This window comes from Homo sapiens, chromosome 4 (assembly GCF_000001405.40).
Source record: "Homo sapiens chromosome 4, GRCh38.p14 Primary Assembly".
NCBI classification, from domain to species: Eukaryota; Metazoa; Chordata; class Mammalia; order Primates; family Hominidae; genus Homo; species Homo sapiens.
Window position 1 is genome coordinate 159,282,853 of NC_000004.12, and position 27,307 is coordinate 159,310,159.

Below are 27,307 nucleotides of genomic sequence, written 5' to 3' on the forward strand. Positions count from 1 at the left end.
GCTCATAAATGCTGCGTTCTTTTAAGAAGAAGAATGTAAAGGCCAGGATGTGGGAGTTCTATACTTCCTATAACTGCACATACTGCTGTATCTGTTAAAAAAAATGCCTTTTTCTTTGTGAAAGATAATTTAATGTTGAGTATGTAAGAGGAGCATGGTTATTTGCTTTCTTACTGCTCTAAATACAGTGTTTATAGGAAGTTATAATATCTTCTTTTATCTGGTTCTCCTCACCCTTTTCAAAATACTGGGAAAACAAGCTCTTAAGGCTTAAGCAAATTCATGTTAGTTGTTTGTGACCCTGATCTCAAAAGAGATAATACCTTTGGTTAATGATATACATAGTACCTTTGGTTAATGATAAACGTCGAATTTTTTTTTCTAATTTTACTACAGCTAATGTTGAGAAACTATTCATATAGAACTTTAAAAGATTTTTAAAAAATAATTTTCCAATGTGTTCTTTATTTCTTTTCCAAAATTTAAGTTATATCTACTACATGTCGAAATGTCAAAGCTTGAGTGAAAACTTTTGTTATTGGTTCAGATGTGTTATCTGCATGGTGTGAAGCATCCAGGATTTAAAGCATGGTTTTTAGTTTTCAGTTTAGTTATTTGATAATGTGTGAATTCACTAGAATTTTAGAGATATTTTAATTATTACAATGGAATTTCTCATATTTTATCTTATATCATAAACATGAATCATTATCAGAGAGAAATGAATTATCTAATGCCAAAGAAAGATGCATCTTAGAGTGTCAGGTTAATAATGGGCATCTGTATGAAGATGTGGAGATCTTTTATTCTTCAAGAAGAAAGCAAATAAGTTTTTTAATATATTGAAGGATCAAACAAGATATTTTTATAGTATGAAAAACAGAAAGAGGAAATCCTAAAGCCAGGACATTTTTTTAAAAAAACCCTTTCTTGTTCTTAAAAATTAGTGGTGTTATGTAACCATTTAAGTATTTAGCTGAAGCCTGATATTAAGTGACTCAGATTCCTAGCTTCTTAATGATGCGTCTTTACAGTGAAATTCAAGCAGTTGCCAGATTCTTAAGCCATGAGTTCATTCTCCACCCCCCTCCCCAAATTTGCATGCAGTAAAAACTGAGAATCTGTGCCAAAAGAGGTGTTAGCACTGAAATTCTTACATGCTAAATGTAACATTTGATTTTAGGCTGTTTCACAGTGAAATTGTATTTTAATTTAAGAAAAATGACCAATGTCAGGCTGAAGTTTCTTTATTGAAAAGTAACATAAAAGCTCTGAAATCTGTCTTCATTGGCTCCTTTTAACTTCCCAATACACCCCACCAGAATAACAGTTGTTTTTTTAGAGTTTTCCCCAATCAATGGAGAAAAGCACCTACCTTCGCCTAACGTAGTAACACAGTAATGTACTAACTCTATCAACTCTACTCTCGTGTAAGCCAAGTATTTTCTTGCCTCAGCCTTGATTTGGAGGGAGAAGCTTATGTAAGCCTTTTCTTGTACACATAACTCCAAGGAATCCTTCAGGAATTGTGAAATTGAGCACCTTAAGAATTTTTCCTAAGGGATCATGGAGAAGTCAGGTTGGAAATATTAAGAATATAGTTAATGCCTACCTCCCACCGCCATGGAGACACACACACACACACACACACACACACACACACACACACACACACACACACACGAATTGTAAATGAAACAGTGCCCTGGTGGGGGATACGCAGTGCCTGACTCCTCTGGATTTCATTCCAATAGACACTTTATCCCTTTTTTCCTGAATTAAGGTGATAAATCTTCATTTTTGGTTCAGTTCACTTCAAAATATCTCATAGATTTGAACCATCATTAACTGGAATATATGAAATATATAAAATTCTTGAAAATTGTTTAAAGACATCTTTCCTTAACTTACTCTTCTACCTGGGTGCGGTGGCTTCACGCCTGTAATCGCAACCCTTTGGGAGGCCAAGGCGGGAGATCACTTGAGCCCAAGAGTTGGAGACCAGCCTGGGCAACATAGGGAGACTTTGTCTCTACAAAAAAACTGAAAAATTAGCGGGGCGTGGTGGAGCATGCCTGTGGTTCCAGCTACTTGAGAGACTGAAGTAGGAGGATCACTTGAGCCCAGGAGGTTGAGACTGCAATGAGCCATGTTCCATTCTGGGTGACAGAGGGAGACCCTGTCTCAAAAAAAGAAAAGAAAAGAAACATACTCTTCTTGTGTTGACTGGAGATTTTTTCCACCTCTATTACTTTTTTTATGTTCCAGTTTTCCATAGTTGGTAGAATACATTAGAATAAGCCCTATTTAGTCATATATGAAGGTATGTATATATCTAGTTTACATGAAGCTATCTAGTTTATAAGCACCAGAGAATCACAGATATCAGATGTTGGCCTTCAAGTGAAGAGGACACATAACAAATATCAAAGTTTATGTCTGATTTATTTGGTGTGTTTTGTTATTGATGTTTTGGTTACTATTTTCTTTTATTGATTTTAATCTGAATTCTATGAATTACAGTCTAAAGGGAGGATTCCATCTCAGGAGGTTTGCTAATCCTGTTGATAAAATTGAAAGCATTAAAGAACAGAATTTATTTACAAAGCTACATTAATTCAAATGACAAATATCTATCCAAGTTCATATTTCACTTGAACTTTTATTAGGTTTCTATGTTTGGAGGAAGCACTAGGTGTTTCTCAAGTTCCTTAAGAGATTTATAAGCAAAAGTGTAGACGTTTAAGCAAACTTAACTTTAAAATATAAATGAATTCCTATTTTACATTCCTGTGGGGCTACATGTATGTAACTATTTTAAGTAAGGCTTAGCTCAAAAGGAAGAGAAATCTTGAGACCTTTTATCTACTTACCCCATGTGTTTATTGATTTCAAGAATCACTGTCTCATCACAGTACGGATCAGAATATTCCCTCCCTCATCATCATTGTCATCTTGATCATCATTGTTGTACTTGTATGTGTTAACTTGTAAGCACTCAATGAGCAGGTGAAAAGTTTTGCAAAGTTTTGCCCACAAAATGAGACATCAATTGGTTGATTATAATTTTAAAAATTAAGACTCTATATTTAATTGCCCACTGGATATTTTGATGTGGATGTTGTCACAGATTTGACATGGCTAAAATACAACTCTTAACACTTAACTGTTCCCCCCAACCACCACCACCACCACCACCACCACCACCACCACCACCACCACCACCACCAAATACTAACCCAAACCAACCAACCAACCATGCAGTCAACAAACTATTAGAGTCCCTAGTTTTCCTCATCTCAAATCACTGGGGTTGCCATCTATGCACATATTGAAACCCCAAACCTATGGATTATCTTTGGTTCCTCAGGTTGCTCAAACCTCTGTATCCTTCAGCAAGTCTTATTTCTTCTACCTGCCTCACCATGAATTGATGTTCTTCTCTCCATCTCCATTATTACCACCCTGGTCCAAGCTACCATCGTCTCACTTGTACCATTCCTAATGTTGTACTGTTCCAAATACCTAATAGTACTTGTACTATTCCTAGAGTTCCCCTTATTTCTCATCTGCCCTTCTTCTGCATGCTATTCTTCACATTTATAAAATATAAATCAGACTTATAAAATGTAGATCAAACTGTTATTTCTGTGATTTTAAAACTCCTCAGTAGCTCTCTATTGCACTTGGACTAGAATGAATCTCCACTCCCTGGAGAACTATGCATGAACTAGCCCCACTTGTTCTTCTTACCTCTCATTGGACTTTTCTCCATCTTACCCACTCTGCTTCCATTGCTTTGATCCTCCCTTTGTACATTTAACAGACCAAGCCATGGAGCCTTTTCCGTAGTTGTTTCTTTTGCTCAGAATTTTATCTGTGATGCTTACCTGGCTGGCTTCATGACTCTCAGATCTCAGCTATAGGAGGTTTTCCTCGGGCATTTCTGTTACACCATATTATTCTAATTCTCTGCCAAACATTGATTATTATATTTTGGGTTTTTGTTTGTTGTTGTTCATGTTATTACTGCTTGATTATTATGTCTTTCCCCACTGGAATGCAAGCTTCGTGAGAGTATGTACCTCATCTATTCAGTTCATCACTCTGTCTGTAATGTCTAGGATGTGTTTAATATAAAAAAGCCATTTGATAAGTAATTATGGAATGTGTAAGAGGAAAATTAATAAGAAGTACAAAAATGCAGGTATAGGCAACATGTCAGTAAGCTTAGAATTAGTAGATAATTGTTTCATCTTGAGAGGATTTTTTTTTTCTCTTTTGACTAGATTAAACTTAGATAAAATCAAATTTGGGTATAAAGACTGGAGGCAATAAGTAGCCAGTAAACATCAATCACTGAATATCCACATTAGCAATCTTAATGATAAGTTAAGATTAACACTGTTAACTATTGCTATTGTTATGTCATGTGATTCTTTAATATTTAACATTTTAATAAAATATGGAAATAAATATTGTTTACCTAAGCAGCAAAAAAATTTTGATATAAGCTTCTTAGGAATTTTAGATGATACGGAATTTTAGAAATACAGACATTCTATTTAGGAAGAATATTAATATGGATTATTTTGAAGATCAAACTGTCTTTGAAGGCCTTCAGTGTAATTCAGTGCCAAAAATCACGTAAAGCTACTTGGATGTCTCCTTGAGTGATAGGACTTGACTATAAAGCATTATGAAAGTTATATGCTTCTCTAAGAGCAATTATATTTAATGTATGTATATCATGGAATTGAAGTAAAAATATGTTAATTTTTGTTTACATGCATAATAAATTGTTAATAAAGAATTCCAAGTTACTTTTCCTTCTTAGGATTTATGGGGGTTTGTGGAATACTTGTCTTTAAAATTAATAATAGTTTACATTGTAGAAAATTTGGAAACTACTCAAATTAATATTTTTCTGTGATATAAAAGCAAAATCTAAATTCTACTTTAAGCAGTGGCATAGCTAATTCACCTCTCTTGATATCGGTTCCTACAGCTGTGAAATGTGAAGATTATACTAAATGAATCCTCAAGCTCTTCCAGGTCTATGATTGTGCTTTATACAAAAACTTGTATTTGCATAATGCTTTATATTACCAGAATTCTTTCACATCTGTTTTCCATTTGTTCTCACAACTGTCTTGTTAGGTAGGCAGTACAGACCTTGTTATGTCTGTTCCACACTTGTGAGTAAACTGAACTACTAAGAATTTAAAATTATTTTCTTGAGTTAAACAGCCATCTTGGAACTAGCCATGTATTCTCTCTATAATTTCATATCATAATCTTTGACCTCCTGATGCTAATTCCTGGTGATGTTAAGTACTTAGTCAAAGTAAGTATCCATATTTCATAAGTTACCACTGCAGTAACTTGAGAATTTTAAAAATCTGACCTTGGAAATTTGGTTATCCACTCACATAATCTGTAGGAAGCCAGTACTAAAGTATTGTAGCGATTTGTGATATATACCTAATCACCTTTATGGTGCTTCCAGCATATCAAATTTTTACTTTTTTAAAAAGTTGAATAGCTGAATACAGAGGCTTCTCTAAAGTACCTTCAGGTTAGGTTTTGAAAGGCGATTTTTAAGTTTGTTGTCCAGATGGCATACCTCACTCCATTCTAACTTGTCTTCCTACTTCCATTCTAACCCCTTACAAGCCATTTTCCCCACCCCCTGCCAGAATGATCTTATAAAACAAAACTGGGTCTTGTTAACTTCCTGTTTAAAAAACCCAGTGACTTCTCATTGCACTTACAGAGCCTACTTTTTGGTAGGCTTAATCCCTACTGCCTGACCCCATTTGTACCACTCAGCCTTTCTCACGCCTTACCTTCCAGTGCATGAACTCCTCAGAACCGTCAGATTCTGAGTGCATGTTTTCTCCCTCAACATTCTCACTCTTTACCTTCCAGTCACCTTGAAATTGTTTCTCGACCATTCCTAGGTTTATCCCACCTGAAGGTCTTTACTCTGGATATTCCTTCTGTCTGTAAAGCTTTCCTTCCACATCTTTGGCTGGATCCTTTGTATTTATTCACCTCTCACTTCAGATGTAATTTTCTCAGAGCAGCCTTCTCAGATCACCCAGTCTTAAATAGTATCCTCTCCATTCCCAGCCATCACCATCTATTACATGCTCTTCTTGTGGTATTGTCTCTACAGTACTTACTGATAGCTGAAATCTTTTTTTAAAATTTTTTATTGTTACATATTCCTCCTTTCCCCTTCTCCCCTCAAGCCCCTCCTCTCTTTAAGGGTGTAAGTTTCAGGGAGCAGGGATTTTGCTAATCCTAGTCATTGCCATATCACTAGTTCCTATAACAGTGACCGGCTTGTTACAGGATGTCAGTAAATACTTGTTGGATAATTAAGTAGATGAATGAATCTTATGGTTCTGAGTAACTTTATATATCTTCATCTGACAGGCTTCTTGTTGAGATCTATGATAGGAAGTTAAAAATATGTTGAGTTCAGAAGTTTTGTCATTAATTTTTTTGATGCTGGCTTCCAGGAAGGCTAAACTAAATTTATTGCATAACTACAGTTGCTGTTCATTGTGTTTTAGTTTTATTCTGGTGATCTTACCTATAATTGCTGATGGAAGGGGGTGACTATAGAGCTGGTAAGGAAAAGAACATTGGGATCAAACAGTCCCTGTTCAATTTCTCTCAGCCTCAATATCTTCTACTTTAAACTAGGTAGGGTTACCAGTTCAATGATCTGCTCATTAAATACTTACTATACCTTAGGTACTATATGAGAAGCTAGGAAAAGAGTGATGAAAAAGACACACCTAGAGAGGGCATTGGATTATTAAATCAGCAGCTACTGTAAAGGTATTTAAGTTCTGTGACAGGCAGCATTCTGGGTATCACAGGAACATCTTACAAGAATTTCTAACTTCAGGAGGAGGGTTCAGAGAATTAGCCAGGCCAGGGGTGAGAGTGTTCTTCCCGGAAGAGGGAACAATGAAGACCCAGGAGGAGATACAGAGTATCTCGCTGTATTTAAAATAACCAGAAATAGATTTATATATTTAGTACAGAGGCTGAGGGGAAGAGAAGTGAGTGTGAGAAGATCAAAAGGAGAAGACAGTGGGGTGCAGTGGTTAGGAATATAACTTTTTCCAAAGGGAAAGAGAAGCCACTAAAACATTTTAGGCAGGGGAGTGACAGGATCAGGTGTGTATTTTCCTATCGTGTTTTAAAAGTTTACTTCTGGCTGCGACATGAAGAAGAGGGTGTTACAAGAAGCAAGATAGGACAGTGGTAGTACAGTGGCACCACAGTGAAGTGGGTTCATATTTGTAAATCCCCTCTCAGAGTGCTGTCACACATAGTGGGAGCTTGGTCAATTTTTTAAGTTCTGGGTTTTCCTAAGGTGAATTGAGGCTGTGTAACTTCAAGGTTATGGAAGTTAAACTTTTTGTATCTAAAGGCATTTTCAAAGTATTCCTGCTTTTGTGTATGTGCATGCATGTGCACTGACACCACAGATTTTATTTAACCAGTCATCAGGTTCTCTGAATGGATTTTAATGAAAGCTACTCTGTTTCCCTGATTTCAACCTAGGATGATACATCAGTATGCATACACATACACACTTAACAGAAACATTTAGAGAAAGTAGCTGAAGTTGAGGAAGGTAAACCACAGCTTAATACAGCAATAGAATATTAAAAGTTTGTATTAATTTGGGAAGAATGTACTTTCTAAGAGAGTTACTCAACTGGTGATGTAAATCAATCATGGCAGGTGACTGAGAAAGTCATGAAAAGTGCTGGAGCATTGGCAGAAGTGAGGGGGTCTCTTTTAGGTAATGTGTGCTTGACGATGTCATAGTCATTCAGACTATTCATTTAATGGCATGTGTCTAAGGTTTACAAAAAAAAAAAAGATGAAGGAAAAGAGAAAAATCTATTAGACTTCTTGCAGTTTATGAGTATATATTCCTGCTGGCCCTAGACAGTGAGTAATGCACCACAAATGTTCAGTCAGTTCTTGTATAGTGCCCTCCCGACAGCCAAAGCAATGAGATTACCTGGCATGCCAGGGTTGACACATGAAGCCTTTGAAAATAAATGTGAAATTAAATTCTTATCATTGAAATCCTTAGAAATAAATCCTAACATGGATATCTTTGTCACAGAAGTAAAAGGAAAAATTGATAGACACATAACATGAATACCCAGTGTTTTTGTTAGCAACTTAAGAAGGGTAACATAATTATTTTTTGTCTTAAAGATTATTGTCTAGCTCAGTTGTAATACCCGTCACTAGAAAAGGAGTACCTGTGGTGGTGGTTGTTGCATAAAATCTAGAAGCAAATTTTTAGAGGTAGGATCTGAGATGTCATTTAAAATCAAGGTAGTTTCCTGTGTATGTGTGAATATATACATCTGTGTGTGTGAGGATTGGGTGGAGATTAGTAATTATTTTTATCATTTTTTGAGACAAGGTTTCACTCTGCCATCCAGGCTGGAGTGCAGTGGCGCAATCACAGTTCACTTGACTTCCTAGGCTCAAGCAATCCTCCCACCTCAGCCTCCTTAGTAGCTGGGACTACAGACGTGTGTCATCACACCCGGCTAATTTTTGTATTTCTTGTAGAGACAGGGTTTTGCCATGTTGCCCAGGCTGGTCCCAAACCCCTGGACTCAAGCTATCCTCCCACCTCAACCTTCCAAAGTGCTGGGATTACAGGCATGAGCCACCATGCCTGACCAGACAATTTGCTTATTAAATACTTACTGTACCTTAGGCAGTATTTGAGAAGCCACACAGTACATAAAGTTTCTCAGTTGATAAAGTTATATAACCAGTGTATCCACAAATGATAACTTAGAATAGATGGAGTTTCACAGTTTTGAGTCACTATCCATTGTATATATATCAAGACAAGCTTTAGTGCTGTTGTTTTTTTTTTTATGTCCTCTTGATGTAAGTTGTAATGAATATCTTTTTCTGTTAAAGTTATGTGGAATTACTGTTAATGTTTTATTTTTCTTATCTCAAAAGTAATTCATATTTATATTTAAAATTTTAGAAAATGTAGATAAGCAGAAACAAATTTTAATTGTCCATAATCCTACCATGTAATTATAGCTATTGTTAACATTTTCTTTATACCCTTCCATAGTCTTTATTTTGTATATGTGTGTAGAATTGGTTCACGTTAAAATGAGGAAAATCTTTTGTGCAACATTACCACCGTTGCTGATATTTAAAATGTGTTGAATTATTGACTCGTACATTTTGAGCTCCCAAAACCCTTCAGTGGCTTCCCATCTCATTCAGGGTAAAATCCAAACTCTTTACCATAGCTCCCCACGTGATTTCACCCCTGAATATCTCTCTGCCCCAATCCCTCTCCTTGTCAGAGCTTGTACTGACCTAGCTATTCCTAAAACATGCGAACGCCACCCTACCTTGGGCTTTTGCTCTTAGTGTGTTTGTTGCTGAAATGCCTGCTACTCCCATGTGCTTCTGCAGGGGTCAGGCCTTCATTCCATTCATATCTTGTACTCAGATGTTACCTAAGCAGGGAAACCTTTCACACCCTATATCCTGGATACTTAATTAATTTTTAAATTACCACTAAGTGATGTTCTTATTTTTTTGATGGGCTTCCCCCAACTTCCTACCCACTCCCCAACACAGACACACAAATACTAGGATATAAAGTCTATGGAGTCAGAGTTTTGAGTACATCCACCCTTCTTCCTAATGAAATAAGTTTACTTCTATTTTTTTAAAAGACTATAGCATAAATTTCAAGAGAAGTATTTATTCTCAAGTGGTCAGCCTATTCAATAAATTTTATGAGTCATCAAAATCAAACAATCAAGTAGGTGGCTTCTAGACCTAATTTTTCATGTAACCTATGAAGCAGCACTTTTAAAAACAAGTAATTTTCCGGAAACCTTATAGTTTCATCATAGAATATTTGTGTCTTGATATTTGAGTAGATATTAGTGCTCTCCAAATTAGAGGGCACTGAACAACTCCATATATTTCATTACTGTCTTTGGTTCATAAGATAATCTAATACTTTGTTGATTTTGTTCTCAAGTTACATACACAGCACAATAATTTTTCATAATATATTTAATGATTATATTCCTTTGGCCTAGTGATATGCTAGATTTATCTCAACTTTACACAAAGACAAATATGAAGTATACTTAGCAATGTATTATATATTAATATATGAAAATGTTATATACAAAATTTGTGTGCTTATATATTTTGTATACATGTCTATATATGTATTTTATGAAGATGATATAATTAAAATTATTCCTTTGGGAAATAAGTGAGAGCATAAAAAAATGAAAACAATTTTCTCGTCTTAATATCACATCTTAGGTCATCCCTTTCTGTCTAGTCACTGTTTATCACATCGGTTTCTTTTCATCTTTGCTGGATGCAGTACTTATCACAACTTGACAGTTTCTTGTTTATTATTTAATTATTTGTCCCCACCCACTAGTTGTAAGATGCATGACAGCATGGGCTTTATTTTACTCATTGCTGTATTTAGCAAACTCAGAATAGTGTCTGGCCTACTGGTTTTCAATAAATGTCGTTTGACTAGTTAATTGAAGAGTAAATGAACTGTCGTGTTTATTTTATCCAAACTGCACACAGTCCCATGAAATAGGATGTTATCAGTGTCCTGCCTACTTCTTCATAAGGAATTTAGAATTTCACTGTGGAAGAATTTTCAGTTATAGGTCGTAAAAATGATCCTAGTATTTGTTTAGGATAATGCTAGCTATTGTACCAAACAAAACAAAATATAATGGTTCAAACACAGTAGACTTTCTTTTAAGTCTCCTTTTCATAAATCTGATGGTGTTCTTGATCAATGGACAAATTCCTTCTAGATAGTGGTTCAGGGTTGCAGCCCCTCTCCATTTTTTGGCTCAGTTGTGTTTAACCTTCAATGCAAAGCTTGCGTTTTCTTCCAACAGAGACTCTCTTTAATGGAAAGGGAAAGATCATGGAGGGTCTCATGTGTAAGGTTGTTATGAGTAAGATATAGAAGTGGCGTACTCACTTCTAACTGTTCATACTCCAGTGGTTTGAACTCAATTGGCACTTACGTAACCGGAAGGGACGTTGGGAAATGTAATCTAGCGATGCACCCAGCAAGAGAGCACTGGTGAATAGCTAGCCAGTCTCAGCCATGCTACTGTATGTAGATCTAAGTTCATTTGCATTTAGGTGTAAGATAGCTTTATAACTTTTAAAGAGTTAAAAATTAATTATGGGTTAATGTTTTTAATTCTGTGTAAGGCCTCCTTCCCAAACCCAACCTTTTTTGTTCACAAAGAAGGCAGCTTAGAATCCTCCATGGATCCCATAGGAATCTTTTTTCTTTGACTTTAAACACTCATTTCCCGAGCTCCATACTCCATTGAGCATTTCTTCAGTTGGGATAACTAAGTGCAGTCCCTTTGGAGCTCATCAAAGTTGTTGTCTAATTGGTTATAGAAGCCATCTTCTGATCGTACCAGCAGCTGCCTCCCTCTCCAGGGATTGCCGCTTCCATAGCATCAGTCCCACTAGGTTCTGGAAAACAAGAGGCTGAGAACTCAAGTTTTAGTAATTGTAGAATATTACCAGTATTTCTATATTAATTAGTATTACAGTCTAAATGGTATGATTGCATGATTTGCTTATAGTTCATAAACATAGATTTTGGAGCCTGTTACTGAGGGTTTTGGACAAGCCACTTGAGCTCTTTGAGCTTCCATTTCTTCCTTCCTTCCTTCCTTCCTTCCTTCCTTCCTTCCTTCCTTCCTTCCTTCCTTCTTTCCGTCCGTCTGTCCGTCCTTCCATCCTTTCCTCTCACTCTGTCACCCAGGCTGGAGTGCATTGGCATGGTCTTGGCCCAGTGCAAACTCTGCCTCCCAGGTGCAAGCTATTCTCGTGCCTCAGCCTCCCAAGTAGCTGGGAGGTGCATGCCACCACGCCTGGCTAATTTTTATATTTTTAGTAGAGACAGGGTTTCACCGTGTTCGTCAGGCTGGTCTCAAATGCCTAACCTCAGGTGATCTACCTGCCTCGGCCTCCCAAAGTGCTGGGATTACTGGCGTGAGCCATCGCACCTGGCCCGAGCTTTCATTTCTTCAGCAATGAAGTGCAACATCTGGGCTCTTCATAGATATTAGAACAAAGAGACAAAGTATGAAACGTTCAGCGTATTGCCCATTATACAATACAGGCCCCCTCGCCCCAAAGCTATCGCAGTAATTATTATTAACATTAAGAGAAAATATACAGAGGAGTTTGGAATTTAAAATAGATGAAATACTACCCAGAGCATGACTTTTAAATCACCCAACTCAGTACCAACAGTTGGTGTGTTTTTCATTGAAAGTTCTTGGACTGAATGACCTAGAGAATTTTTTGGAATCTCCCAAAGGGATTTATGCATTTCAAATGAGTGGTTGTTGATGGTTGAAAATGAATTGAAAAGGAAAAGGAATTATATGCAGAGTGCATGCCTGTGTGTATGCATTTGTGTGTGTGTGTGTATGTATGTGTATTTGAAATGAGAATGGTCTGGCTGTCACTTGAAATCCATCATAAAACTGTTTATTAACAGGCAACAGGACATTTCATTTGGCCATATATACATTAATCAACTACCTCCGTGTTTCTATGGAAACTTGTATAAACAGTTCGATTGTACCATTTGAGGTCTCAGATAAACATTTTCAATGACACTTTCAATGGTTCTAATAATAATTCTACTATTGTTCTTGATGCCAGATATCTCAGATATCTTTCTTAAAGTGATAGAATTAGTTGACTAGCATAAGAGAGAGAGAGTGTGTGAGTGTGTGTGTGTGTGTGTGTGTGTGTGTGTGTGTGCGCGCGCGCGCGCGCGCGCATGCACATAATGTTTTTTCTGACCTTCAGATGTTGGGGAAATTATATAAAAGACAAGGTTTTGTTTCCACCAAAATCAACTATCAGAAAATAAGCCACCTTAATCTTTTATATAATGAAGTTCTCTCTCAATTTAGTTTATTGTTTTTAAAGAAGGATGTATTTTTCCATAAGGAAAATTAATCAGAAATGACCCCAAGCGATCTTAGCTTGGAATGTTTATAATTCACATGATGGAATTGGTATAAGGGAGTTAAAGAAGTTTTACATAGATTTAATAACGAGGCCTGAATATGTGATCTCAGAATTGCAATTACTGGATATTACCATAAACCTTGTAAAGATTAATTTATAAAGCAAAAAGTAAATGATGGTTGTTGTAAAGAACTTGCAAGAAAAATGAAAAATCAGCTTCCTGAATGTTATACAGCACTGTGTCATTTATAGACACATCACTACCTTAAACAAATTAGAAGGAATGTAAACTCAATTGGATGACTCAAAAAGTGAGTCAGCTTTGCAAATGTCAAAGTCATTGATGTTGGAGATGCAGATTAAAGTTTCATGAGTGAGAAATTATTTACAATTAATATTTTTCATGTGATTTTGAAATTTGTATTTCACTAGTAATTTGATCTAAATAGCCATTTGATTGTTCCATCAATATCCATGAGAATTTTCAGGTCAATTAGTAAATTAATAAATATATTTAAGTTTAATGCTTAAGTGTGTGCTCCCTAGCCGTTCATCTGGGGCTGGAATCTGTTTCCATCACCTTTTCGCTGTGTGATCTTGATGCAAATCACTTTTCTGCATCTGAGGTTTCCTCCTACATAAAATAGTCCTACTAATACCTATTTTTTAAGAGTGTTGTAAAAATTAAGTAAGCTAATGTATGCAAGTACTTAGAGTAGGGCCTGTCACATAGTAACTGGTGTACAGGTGATCTAATTTTGTTATCTTTGGAAAAATGGGGCAAAGCCTCACATTTTGAAATACATGGTACTTAGATCATGCAGTTTCTCATCACATTGACGTATTCCTCTCTTCCATTTTCAAGTGAAGTTCATGTAGGTTTCCTTTCTACTCAATGCTTTCTTTGAACATTCAATGGAAAAACCCTCCTAAAAGTATTTGCTTTGAAACATTAGTCACCTTGTGACAGACAGCCAGTTTTCAACCAGTTCACTAATATTGATTATTTATTTTCCTCATCGGGGTCCCAAGTGTATTTAAATTGTCCCCATTTCATACACGCAAGAATTAATTCCTTTCTGCCTTGGGAGAGGGCTAGGGTACCATATTTCAGTAGCTAATTCCACCACATAAAGATATATATTTGGACAGCAAGCCATGTGAAATACTCATTATATAAGCCACATCTTATCAAGCCCTCTCTGTTACAACTCTAAAACATTATCATAATATAGGAAAGTAGCAAGGAACGTTTGAAATGCATCCCTTCCCCCAACCCCCAAAAAAACACACAACACAGTGGTGTTTCTGTTCAGACTGTCCTCTGAGAGGCAGTGTGCTCCGTATGGCAGGAGCAAAGCTTTGTGGTTTTACCATACTTAGTTTGTAGCATATGTCTGTGCCAAATGCATATTATTTTCGAGGCTTTTGCAGTCAAATATAATAAGGCAATACACATAAATGCACAAAACTACGCAAGTTGTTATCACTTTGAGAGAATTCTAAACTACAGAAATTTGAATATTTTATTATAAAAGAGAGTAATTGAACTATAAGCATATCATGAAAATGAAGTTATTTAGTTTGCAAAATGTATTATGGTATTCTAAGCAGTGAGTTCCTCTCCATATAAATACATGATTTATTTAAAAGGTAATATGTAGACTTTTGGGGAAATATATAGTAAGTGAACTACCATAATGGTAGTTTTAGGTATGACAGTGTCAAAACAAGTTGTTTCTTTGGTTGGCTTCTTCGTTTCCACCGAATTTGAAAAATATCTGGCCTAAGGTGGTGGAGGATGTTGTCTGGAAAAATGACAGAAGAAATGAGAAGGAATAGAGAGGCATATGTAAGGTAGATTATTTGGACCACAGTGATTATTTCATTTGATCACTCTATTATGTTATAGCCATTTCATAGAAGAAACTGAGGTACACAGAAGTTAACTAACTTGCCCAGGTTCACTTGACTTAGGAGGTAGTTGAACAGAAGATTAATCCGTATATGGCTAACATGAGGCTTCTGTCTTCTGAGCCTGGTAAGAAGCTGGAAGAATGTTAAGTAATTACAAATTGTTAATTTTGGCAGTTTTCTCCAGTAGATAAAAGCAAATAAATTTTTGCAGACCTATTCTTATAAAGCATAGTTACATCAACACCTTAAAAAGTCTACCTGTAGTTTAATCAGAAAAACATTAGGCCTTATCTTATCAGTTTATTAAGTTATTAACTCATGACACATTTAGAAAACTTTTGTTTCCTGACATTATATATATTTATTAGCAAAATAAATTTTATATTTTACAAAAATCTTTCTCTTTGCTTTGTGGAATACTGATCTGATATATGAAGACTTCAAGGATGGGTGTTGTATCTAGGGTATATATAAAGGGGTTATGAAAGGAGCCAAAATTACTGTGGTGAATAATATTTAAAAGTCCAAATGTTTACTTTTTCTTGTGTTCTTACAGAGATAGGATTTAAAGAAATAAAAGATGATCAGATTATAAACTGGTCTTTAAAATGAGCTACTAAAAAATTTCCTGCCTCATCAAGCTGCATGTAGAAACAAGTCAGAGTGTCAGAACTAGTAGTACCTGAAATGATTAATAGCAGAAAGGAAAGAAAAAGGAAGACAGTGTGGGTGTGTATGTATGTGCATGCCTAGAGAAAGAGAAACAATATGAATGGCTTTTAAAATAACTTGAGTTCCAGAGGGAGTGAAAGATCGTGTCTATAGCTGGGTGAGTTTGGCCACGAAAGCCCTTTCTGGGAATAGCTCAATAATCCATTGGCATCTAGGCTTAGATTCCAGCTACAGGAATCATGAAGCTGGAAGGGACCTGCGCCTTGCAGAGTCTGGTCCGTGATGATCTGTACTTAACACTTTAGTCATTTCTGTGTGCCAGGCACTTCTCTAAGTCCTTCACACCCATTTATTTATTCAGTCCTCACAACACAGGCTTTCAATAAATGATGGATGAATGCTGAATGAAAATATAGTATCCTTTATTTTTTACAAATACCTCAGAGAAAAATAGAAAATATGTCTAGGAATATACTTACTCCACCTTGTAGAGATTAAAAACGTGAACATAAAGACTCAAAACCCTGACAATGATATGGGGAAAGCAGTGTTCATTTGGGTAAATTCTGAGTGATGCATCTTAATATGAAGTTAGTTTTAGTCACTAAGTGTGATATTTATTTTACTTTAAGTAGATTTATTCAAGGTAAGATGCCTGGGAAAATTGACTAGATTCCAGTGATCATCACCCCAAACCTTGTGCATTCTGTTATAACTGTTACTTAAAGTGGTTCCAAGATTAGTTTGGGAAATTATCAGTTAAATACATTTCAGTCAATAGACAGTATTTTTTTGTTTTTAACTATTGGATTTCTCAGCAGTCCTAAGATGATGATGATATGTATCTTGGACCATGAAACTCTCTTTTACATTAAAAAAAAAAAAAAGACAGAGAGAATAAGCCTCTGTTGATAATAAAATTCCACAAAACTCATCCCTAAAACTTGGGGATCTGGTACCACAGATGCTGCGCTATATCAATAATTAGTAATTCAGGACGGAAAGGAAGAAGAAGGGCAGCCACCCTTGTTTGTACTGCACTGTCACCAATTTTAGGTATTTTACCAATTTAACTTTTTTTTTAACTTATTATTACTTATTTACTTATGAGTATTTACTTATTGGTATCAGAGACTTCAAGGCATCCATACTCATCTTTATGTTCAAGATCGAGTTCATTTATTAGCTAGTAATTTTATAAATGCCAACCATTAGATTAATCAGTGATTATCAAATTCCTATTTATATATTATAGAGACTTAAATAATGTGTAGAATTTACTTTTACAAAGCTAATTATGGTAGCATCTGTTTGTCCTACATAATAAAAAAAAAAGCTATTATACAAATGATACCAAGGTTTTATGAAACTACAATTAGTTTTAGGTTTATGCTTATATAAAGTATTACTTCCTGTGTGCCAGGCACTTCTCTAAGTCCTTCACACCCATTTATTTATTCAGTCCACACAACACAGGCTTTCAATAAATGATGGATGAATGCTGAATGAAAATATAGTATCCTTTATTAATATTATAAAGTATTAAAAGTGTAAAGTAATACTTATAAAGTATTACTTTATATACTTTAATACTAATATACTTTATGTAAGTATTACTTTATATATGCATAAACCTAAAATTAATATAATCTGATTTAAACAATATATAATTAATATAATCTGATTTAAGTCTGATTTAAGAATCTGATTTAAATATTACCCTTGTTTCTTATATATTTAGCAGTGTTTGTGGTTAAACTATGATTCAACCATTTGCCTAAGAGTAGTTTATTAAAATTGTCATTCACAGGTGGTGTTTTTTAGGACTATAGGTTGCTTGCTCCAGGAACAAAAAATTGAGCAGTAATATATTTATATAATCGAATATTAAAATAAATATTTAAGTGATAAAAATGAAAAATATAGGTGAAAAGATTCCTTGGAATTGTGTTCTTAATGAATTGTTGGGAAATACATTGGTATTAAAAATACATAAAATGTGTTACTTTTTCATTTAATTAACTTAATTATTGATTTTATTCAGGTAATTACTGTATATTTCTAGCTTTATAAATTTTATTTTTTGAACAGAATTTCTGTTATAAATGGTGGCTACAGTCGCAAGATAATTCACAACCTCAATTTAATCTGTAATTTAATTAAATAGCGTACTATACATAGTAATTTAAATTGGGACTGGGTCAAGCTTAGAAAAAAGTTTAGAGTAAGGGATGCTTGCTGTCACGTTGTGCCTTGTATATATTTCTCAGATCTGTGTTTCCCTGATGGCCTTGGGTTTAAATGTGGGCATCTGCCCCTGTGTCTGCCTCCTGACTCTCAACCCCTACATGGTTTGTTTGCCTCCTAGAAACTCCATTTTTCCTAGGCATGGGCTCAGGCCTCTATTTCATTAGAGTGTCATGGCAGAGTCAAATCAATGCATTTCAGTTTCTTTCCTTATGGGAACACCTTTTATAACATCTCCCATTCCATAACTTGACTGATGTGTATTGTCAATAAAATTTAATAATAATGCCAGATGTGGTGGCTCATGCCTGTAATCCCAGCACTTTAGGAGGCCAAGGCGGGTGGATCACTTGAGGCCAGCAGTTTGAGACCAGCTTGGCCAACATGGTGAAAGCCTGTATCTGCTTAAAAAAGAAAAATTAGCCGGGGTCGTGGGCGCCTGTAATCCCAGCTCTTTGGGAGGCTGAGGCAGGAGAATCGCTTAAATCCGGAAGGGTGGAAGTTGCAGTGAGCTGAGATTGTGCCACCCACACCCCACCCGGGGCGAGGTGACAGAGCAAGATTCTGTCTCCAAAAAGAAAAAATTAATAATAGTATTGTTATCCTAATTGGTGGGAAAAGATTTTAAGGTTTTTTTGAACATGGCATCTATTCTTACATATCTCATATTAAAAGGCATTTAATCAATGCTAATTTATATATGCATTTACTTTAATATATCATTATTTCATGCCATTCTGCAAAGAACACAGATAGTGCGGAGAAAGGGATAAAAACAGTGTTTGCAGTGGCTCACACTTGTAATCCCAGCACTCTGAGGAGGGAGGATTACTTAAGGCCAGAAGTTTGAGACCAACCTGGGCAACATAGAGAGACCCTTTTATTATCTACAAAAAATTTTAAAATTAGCTAGACATGGTGGCATGTGCCTGTGGTTCCAACTACTCAGGAGGCTGAGGTGGAAGGATCACTTCAGCCCAGGAGTTTAAGGCTACAGTGAGCTATGATTGTGTCTCTACACTCTAGCCTGGGCAGTTAAGGAAGACCCTGTCTTTAAAATAAAAAATAAAAAAAAATCTTGTATTTTCTATTGTTTGTAACACCTATCACAGTGAATTTGGAGGTAGTAGAGGTTTGGAGTTAGGAATGTCTTACTTATCTTGATACTCTCTGCCACTAGCAGAGTGTATGACATGGCAGATACTCAATAAGTATTTATTAAATATAATTGAATTTTTAAAAGCAACGATATTTCTTTCTCTTTTGACAGTCTTTATGGTTCTGAGCCTAACATTTCCATGTAATTCTGATATTTGGCTGTAAGTAGGCACAGATGAATAGATTGTGGTATCTAAAAGCTGGATGAATGTCTCTTATGTTAGGCTTGGAGCTCTTACAACTCCTAGTGCTCTCCATACAGTGAATTCTTAGTCAGGGAAGATGATGGATTCTGAAGAGAAGAGAGTTCTGTGAGACCTGAATAAATAAAATATAAAAATTCATTAGATAGTTTTATCTTCATTTGACACGTTAATTTTTTTAAAAAATCACACTATGTTGCATGTCAACCTGAGTCATGTCTGTAAAAGATAATCAATAGAAATCAGTTTATTGTTCTCTAATTACATGTATTGATTGATGCCTTTTAACATCTCTAAGCCATAGAGTAATGTTTCCCCAGTTGCCTTCTGCAGTGACTTAATTAAATGGAAGTGTAGCTAAGACGATGAAGGGTATCTATCCTGCCTATTATTTATTTTCATATCTGATCACCATTTAGCTATGTGTAAAATTATAGTCATTAATACATATCTGCAAACTTCTATCTTTGAATTGTTCCTGAAGAAGTCCTGCAAATATTTCACTATTCTACATTATGAATGAAACATAAATTCTGAATTTAGAGGTATTTGCCTATCCCTTACAGATAAGTTGTTATTCTCCTAAATATTACATATTTTTTTATTTTTTTTACTTTTTATTTTTTATTTTTTTTATTATTATACTGTAAGTTTTAGGGTACATGTGCACATTATGCAGGTTAGTTACGTATGTATTTTACAACATCTTCAATTACCAGTTTCTTTAAAAACACTGTTGGTAAGATAGGTTTGCGATTATTTCACTTCTCCAAGCTCCCTCAACAAATGAATTTTTCTCCATTTATTTGGCATCTAATTATATGCCCCTATTAAGTTTATGTTTAAATCTCCCCTTTGTATGCCTTGTATCCAATAAAGTTATTATTTCTAAACAGATTGTATGTAAATATTGTTAAATATAATTCACTTAAGGTAGAGAGGGGTGTAATCTATTCAGACAGTAGGTCTGAATTATTAAGGGATATAAATACATTTTGCCTACTTGGAGCTCCGAAGTATCAAAATCCATTGATCATTGTCGTAAATCCAAACTGTCTCCCTTGTGAGGCTTACTCTAAACTATGCAGTAACATTTTGGAGGGGGAGGGAATGAGCCTCAAAAGGTGGACGGGAATACTACTAAGGTTAACGTTTATTTAAGTTTTAACAATTAGTCCTTATATTTATAACTATTTGCCAGCTAAATAGGATCAATATGCAGGAAAAAGGGAGTGTTATCAGTATTTCATGATGCTAGTTAACATGTATTTTGAAATGCTGTTTCATTATTAGCTCAATAGTATAATGTGTGATATTATAGACAAATATAATGTCTTTTTTTATTCAAAAGAATTGGTAATAACTGATAAGAGTCTAAGATTCTTAAGAACCTTACATCTGTTTTCTTAGATTCTCACTTGACGAGGGCATAATAAGAGAAAAGGGGCTCGGTAAATATTTGTCAAATAAGCGGTTTTTTTTTTTCTAATGCATTTTCTCTGGTATATAAGGGGTGGCAGAACACGTAAGGGATACTTAGTGAATGTGTTTATTTTAATAGAGACTATTTTTATTTAAACATGAACATGTAGAAAGTTGATATTTATGTATATGAGGATAGGTAAGTGTTGTCCATAACTTTCTCAATTCTAAGATCTTTGATGGCATTCTTTTCTCTTTCTTTGTAGAGCCTAGTACAGTTGCTTATATGGCAATATACTTCATCAATTCTAAGATGCTCTCTTTTTTAACCTTTAAACATTATTTGGGTATAAACGTAGCTTAAATGTGTTTTCTTGTTTAAACTGCTTTTTGCCACAAAGTTACATTTGTGATGGCTAATAAATAGTACTGTAGCCTAATTTGCTCATTGACGTGTGATTGGAAAATTTTAGCTTACTAAATTAAATACCCAAGTTTATCTTAATAACCAAACCCACCTATTTAAGACATTGAATTTAGTGTTATTTAAGGCTCATGTGTGCTCATACACTTTAAAAATTATTATATGTGATTTTGGGTAAATAAGACAATATTTAGTAATTTGTGAATGTGGAAAATGAATACCATTTTTAGTTCAATGGTATAGAATAAAATATGATATTTTAATTTTAAAATGTCTTCTTGGAGTTCTTGATTCAGATTGTAATCCTAGTTTTTCCTGCTCCTTCCATAGCTTCCTGCAGATTTCACAAAACTGCATCTTACTGACAGTCTCCACCCACAGGTGACCCACGTTTCTTCTAGCCATTCAGGATGTAGTATCACTAGTGATTCTGGGAGCAGCAGTCTTTCTGATATCTACCAGGTAAGAGGATGTTTTCCTTGTCATTTGCTTCATTTTCATTTATTCCAAGAAATTTTAAGGTTCTCAGCTGATAGAATCTATAAAATAAATATATGTGTATATTACATGTGCATGTAAGTACATAAAATATTAATGTTTATTTCGTATATGTTATTTTTAGGGTGTAGAACTGCTGTCTGATTATACTGCCTCTGCTATGACGAGTTATCAAAGTGTTCCTTTTTTTATTTGTATAAATTTGTGGGGTAAAAGTGTAATTTTGTTGCATGGATAGATTGCATAGTGGTGAAGTCAGGGCTTTCAGGTTATACATCACCCCAATAACCTACATGGTGCCCGTTAAGTAATTTCTCATTATGCACCCCCTACTCCCGCATGTGCTGAGTCTCCACTGCTTATCATTCCACACTCTGCATCCATGTGTAAACATTATTTAGCTCCCACTTGTGACTGAAAACGTGGTATTTGTCTGTCTGTGTCTGAATTATTTCAATCAAGATAGTGGCCTCCACTTCCATCCATATTGCTGCAAAAGACATGATTTCATTTTTTATGGCTGAATAGTATTTCATTGCATATATGTACTGTACTTTATTCTGTCATCCATTGATGAACACTTTGGTTGATTCTATATCTTTGCTATTGTGAATAGTGCTGCAATAAACATACAGGTGCAGGTATCTTTTTGATACAATGATTTATTTTCCTTTGGGTAGATACTCAGTCATGAGATTGGTAGATTGAATCGTAGTTCTATTTTTAGTTCTTGGAGAAATCTCCATACTGTTTTTCATCAAGAGATTGTACTAGTTTACATTCCCACCAGCTGCATATAAGTGTTCTCTTATCTCCACATCCTCACCATCTGTTACTATTTTTGTCTTTTTCATGACAGCCATTCTGACTGGTGAAAGATAGTATCTCATTGTGGTTTTAATTGGCGTTTCTCTGATGATCAGTGATATTAAGCATTTTTTCATATGTCTGTTGGCTATTTGTATGTTTTCTTTTGAAAATGTCTATTCATGTCCTTTCCCCACTTTTTAATGGGATTAAATTTTTTGCTGTTGTTGTTATTCAGTTGTTTGAGCTTCTGGATATGAGTCCCCAGTAGGATGCATAGTTAGCAAATATTTCTCCCATTATACCGATTATGTGTTCACTCTGTTGATTATTTCTTCTACTGTGCAGAAGGTTTTTAGTTTTATTAAGTCCCATTTGTCTGTTTTTGTTGCCTGTGCTTTTGAGGTCTTACTCCTGAATTATTTGCGTAGACCAGTGTCCAAAAGAATTTTCCCTAGATTGTCTTCTAATATTTTTATAGCTTTGGGTCTTAAGTCTTCAATCTGTTTTGAGTCGATTTTTATTTATGCTGAAAGATAGGGGTCCAGTTTCATTATATGGTAATCCAATTTTCCCAGCACCATTTATCGAAAAGGGTGGCTTTTCCCCAGTATATGTTCTTCTTGGCTTTGTCAAAGATCGGTTGGCTGTAAATACGTGACTTTATTTCTGGGTTCTTTATTTTGTTCCATTGATCTATGTACCTATTTTAATACCAGTATCATGCTGTTTTAGTTATTATAACCTTGTAGTATAATTTGTTCTTTCTGCTCAAGATTGCTTTCACTATTCAGGCTCTTTTGTGATTACGTATGAACTTTAGGATTTTTTTTTTCTAATTCTGTGAAAAATGATGCTGGGATTTTGATAGGAATTACATTCAATCTGTATATTGCTTTAGGCAGTATGGTCATTTTAATGATATTAATTCTTTCAATCCATGAGCATGGGATGTTTTCTCATTGTTTGTGTCATCTACAATTTCTTTCATCAGTGTTTATTATAGTTTTCCTTGTAAAGCTCTTTCACCTCCTTGGTCGAATATATTCTAGGTATTTTGTTTTTTCTGTAGCTATTGCAAATGAGATTGCTTTCTTGATTTTGTTCTCAGCTAGATTGTTATTGTTGTATAGAAATGCTACTGATTTGTGCATATTGATTTTGCATTCTGAAACTTCCCTGAATTCTTTTATCAAATCTAACAATTTTTTGATGGAGTCTTTAGGGGTTTCTATATATAATGAGATCATTCCATCAGTGAACAGGGATAATTTCACTTCCACTTTTCCAGTTTGGGTGCCTTTTATTTCATTCTCTTGCCTAATTGCTCTGGCTAGGACTTAGAATACTATTTTGAATAGGAGTGGGAAAGTGGGCATCCTTGTTACAGTTCTTATGGGGAATGCTTTCAACTTTTCCCTGTTCAGTAAGCTGTAGGTTTGTCTTATATTACAAGTTTTTCTTATTAAAGTCCATACTGAGTGTGACAAAAGGAAGGGCCTAATAAGACTGGATCATTGAATTAGCTTCCTTGTGTTTTTAAAAAATTATTAGATTTAGTATCTGCTTAAAATAAATTTTTATGATACTGAAGGATAGAAAATAAGCCAGAGCTATGGGATTCAAAACTGTTTTTAAAATAAAATAATTCTAATTGTTAAGAAACATTTTATTAGCTTTGAATGTGCAAATTTAGGAAAAGAGACTGAAATATACACAAATATCCTTATTTGGCCTTCAAATACATTATGTTACTATTGGATTGTATATGGTTTCAAGCAAAATAACATTATTCTTACTTTACAAAGAATAACTCTTGGCTTATTAGGAACTGTGGCATGAAATAACCGTAAAAATAACTTTCTTTAGAGACAATATAGTTATGAAGGATCATTGTTGTATTTAGTCAGTGCTGTTTTTATTTTTTTAATTATTGAAAGTTAGTGAACAATTAAGAATACCATCAATACAAGACATATTCATTTAGGTCCTAAATTTAGTAGATCTTGAAAAATAATTTTCTTTTAAAGAGATAGTATACTAGTTATATACTTTTCTCAGTTTACCTCCTCATCACATACACACAAACACACCATTTATTCTGAAAGTTGATTTTTCTAAACATTTATCGAAGAGTTCCCTTGTGTAAAACAATGAACAGTATACATAAAAGTTGTATTTTAGTTTATATTAATTGAAATATTATGGCAGAGCCTTCATCCTCTAAACTTTGAGATTATTATTATACATCTTGAAAATCTATAGTGAGAATACAGCTTGAGGTTACAATTATCACTGTTCTCATCAAATAAATACAAACTTGGATGAAACTCCTAAAAGGTAAATCTATTAAGATAATGAAGTAACTTGTTTGACCAGGTGCAGTGGCTCATGCCTGTAATCCCAGCATTTTGGGGGGCCAAGGCAGGCAGATCACTTGAGGCCAGGAATCTAAGACCAGCCTGGCCAACATGGTGAAACCCCATCTCTACTAAAATACAAAAATTAGCCAGGTGTAGTGGTGCATGCCTATAGTCCCAGCTACTCGGGAGGCTGAGGCACGAGAATCTCTTGAGCCCCAGAAGTTGTCAGAGCAGTGATCCAAGATCTCCCCACTGCACTCCAGCCTATGGGGCAGAGCAAGACTCCGTCTCAAAAAACAAAAAAGTAACTTGTTTGTATAATCGATTGAGGCATATTCTGAGGGGAATTCTAGTCATATGTGCTTTTACCTTGAATAGGCTAGATAAGTACATGAGGAAATGCAGATGGTACTTCTGCCCCTGGTTATCATCTGATTGTCTGTGAAACCAGAGTGTGGATGAGAGTTCCTAATTGCTCTAACATAGTTGGAGCTTACAGCCTGCTATCTGGCTTTATCTTTGGGTGTAGATGAAGAAGAGGATCCCTGTGCATCATTTCAGTTGCTTAAGTGTCAAAGCTATTTGTTTCAAATTTGATGACAGGCAGATAGCCTGTAAGTATATATCCATCATAAGGAAAAATCCATAGATGTATCTAAGGATCTAGTTATTGGCTGTGCAAAACTTAACATTTAGTAGAGATTTTCAGTAGACCACTTCTGTTGTCTTTGAATCTGAACTTAAAATGAGAAGTCTGACATGCATCTGGTTCAACTTCCAAATTTGCATTTGAATCCTCTGCTTCTCTCCTGTGAATCAAGCATCCAGTTTATTCTTGAACAATTCCAAGGGTGAGCAACTTTCTCCCCTAGAAGCCTATTTGATCTTCATACAGTTCTGATTTCAGAGGTCTCCTGTCACATTGAAGTGAGAATAAATGCTCACAAGATGGACACAGAGAGATTGAATTTAGATGCTGTACACCAGGGAGATATGGATAGAATAATGTTGCTGAGATGGTGGGAAGAGAGGAATTCATGAGTGAATTCTTAGTCATTCTTAATTACTAACCTTAAGAGAAGAAACATTCTTCTGTTTTAACAGGAACACATCCTGGGGAGTTTGGGAGTTGTGGGAGTTCCTGTCTTAGACTTCTGTTTTCTCTCGGAAGAGTTGAGTTCATTTGTTGAGAGTGAGAGGGTTGGCAGGTAGAGAGTTTTAAGGAGAGAGAAGTTTTGAAATAATAGTTGCAGAGAGTAGGAGAACAAATTGACCAGAGAAATGGAGATTCAATTGAGTTAGTGCCCTCAAATATAAAGTGATTTCCCTCTGCTCTGTTAAGTAGCTTTCTCCACAGTAAGCACAAAGAAAGCAAGGATTTGACTTCACCCAGGACTGAAGTTTGTTAAGTGAGTGTAATACAAAGACAGGTCGAGCAACAAGGCAAGCGTTTTCTAACTGCAGATCATAGCTTTTGTATGCCTTCTGCCTGGAATGTTTTCTCCTAGCTTGATCCTTTTCAGCCTTTGTTTTCAAGTGTCATCTCCTCAGAGTTGTTCCTTTATAATCCTCTGTAAAGGAAGTCCTCCATTTTGATTCCTTTCCTGCCTAATCTTTTTATTTCCTTCCTAGACGCCAATTGAACCAATTATTAATTTTTATGTTATCTCTCTGCCTAGAAGAATGACACCTTCAAGAAGGCAGGGAACTTGTCTCTCTTGTCTCTATTTTTTCCCCTAGAGCCTAGCACAGTGCCAGGAAATTTTAGGCATTCAGTAAAGATGTGTTGAATGAATGTAATTGAAATAATAGACTAGGGAATATAAGCTGGATATGAAAGGAAGACAGGTGTGAACACTAGACACAGAAGGTAGTAGAGTCTTGAGTGAAGATCCTTCTTAAGTTGAAAAAGGGTTACCTTAGAAGCAGATGGGGGCAGGTTGAAAGAATAGAAGGTTGTTGGTGATTGAAAGCTTTAATGCCTAAGTTAGTAATACGAGACAATGCCATTTCCAGCCATGATAAGGTCCTGGTTAAATGGTATGGCCATCAGGATCAGAGCGAGTGGCTTAGGCAAACCGGAAATAGTTGTACAAAATAGATAGATCAATAGAACAGAGAGTTCAAGCAAAATTGAACTCATGTGTAAGGATGTAATATGTAATAGAGGAAACTTCACAAATCAATAAAGAAAGTGATGGATCATTCAATAAATGGTCTTTGGGGTTGGGGAATCATTTTGTATTCTTATTTTGTATCATAATTAAAATAAATTCCTGATAAACTAAAGAGTTAGCAAACAATGTTTTAATAAAGGATCAAAACATTTTGTAATTAGAACATCAATTGATAAGAAGATTTAAAGTCAGAATATAACTGATTTACACAAATAAGAAAAATACTCAGCTCACAATGTTAAAATGTTCAAAGGACAGTAGTTGGTAACTTACAGAAACGAAAATGCAAATGTCTACACCTTA

General features: G+C 35.1%; 1 protein-coding gene across 7 annotated transcripts in view; it reads left to right on the forward strand.

Moving 5' to 3' along the window:
• RAPGEF2 (Rap guanine nucleotide exchange factor 2) overlaps positions 1-27,307 on the forward strand; it is a 257,095-nt gene that overhangs the window by 179,774 nt on the left and 50,014 nt on the right. For all 7 annotated transcript variants that reach the window (NM_001351724.5, NM_001394067.2, NM_001351726.3 and 4 more), the window contains one exon: positions 21,490-21,621. In NM_001351724.5, the coding sequence (NP_001338653.1) occupies positions 21,490-21,621 (132 nt within the window). The remainder of the gene's footprint in view (positions 1-21,489; positions 21,622-27,307) is intronic.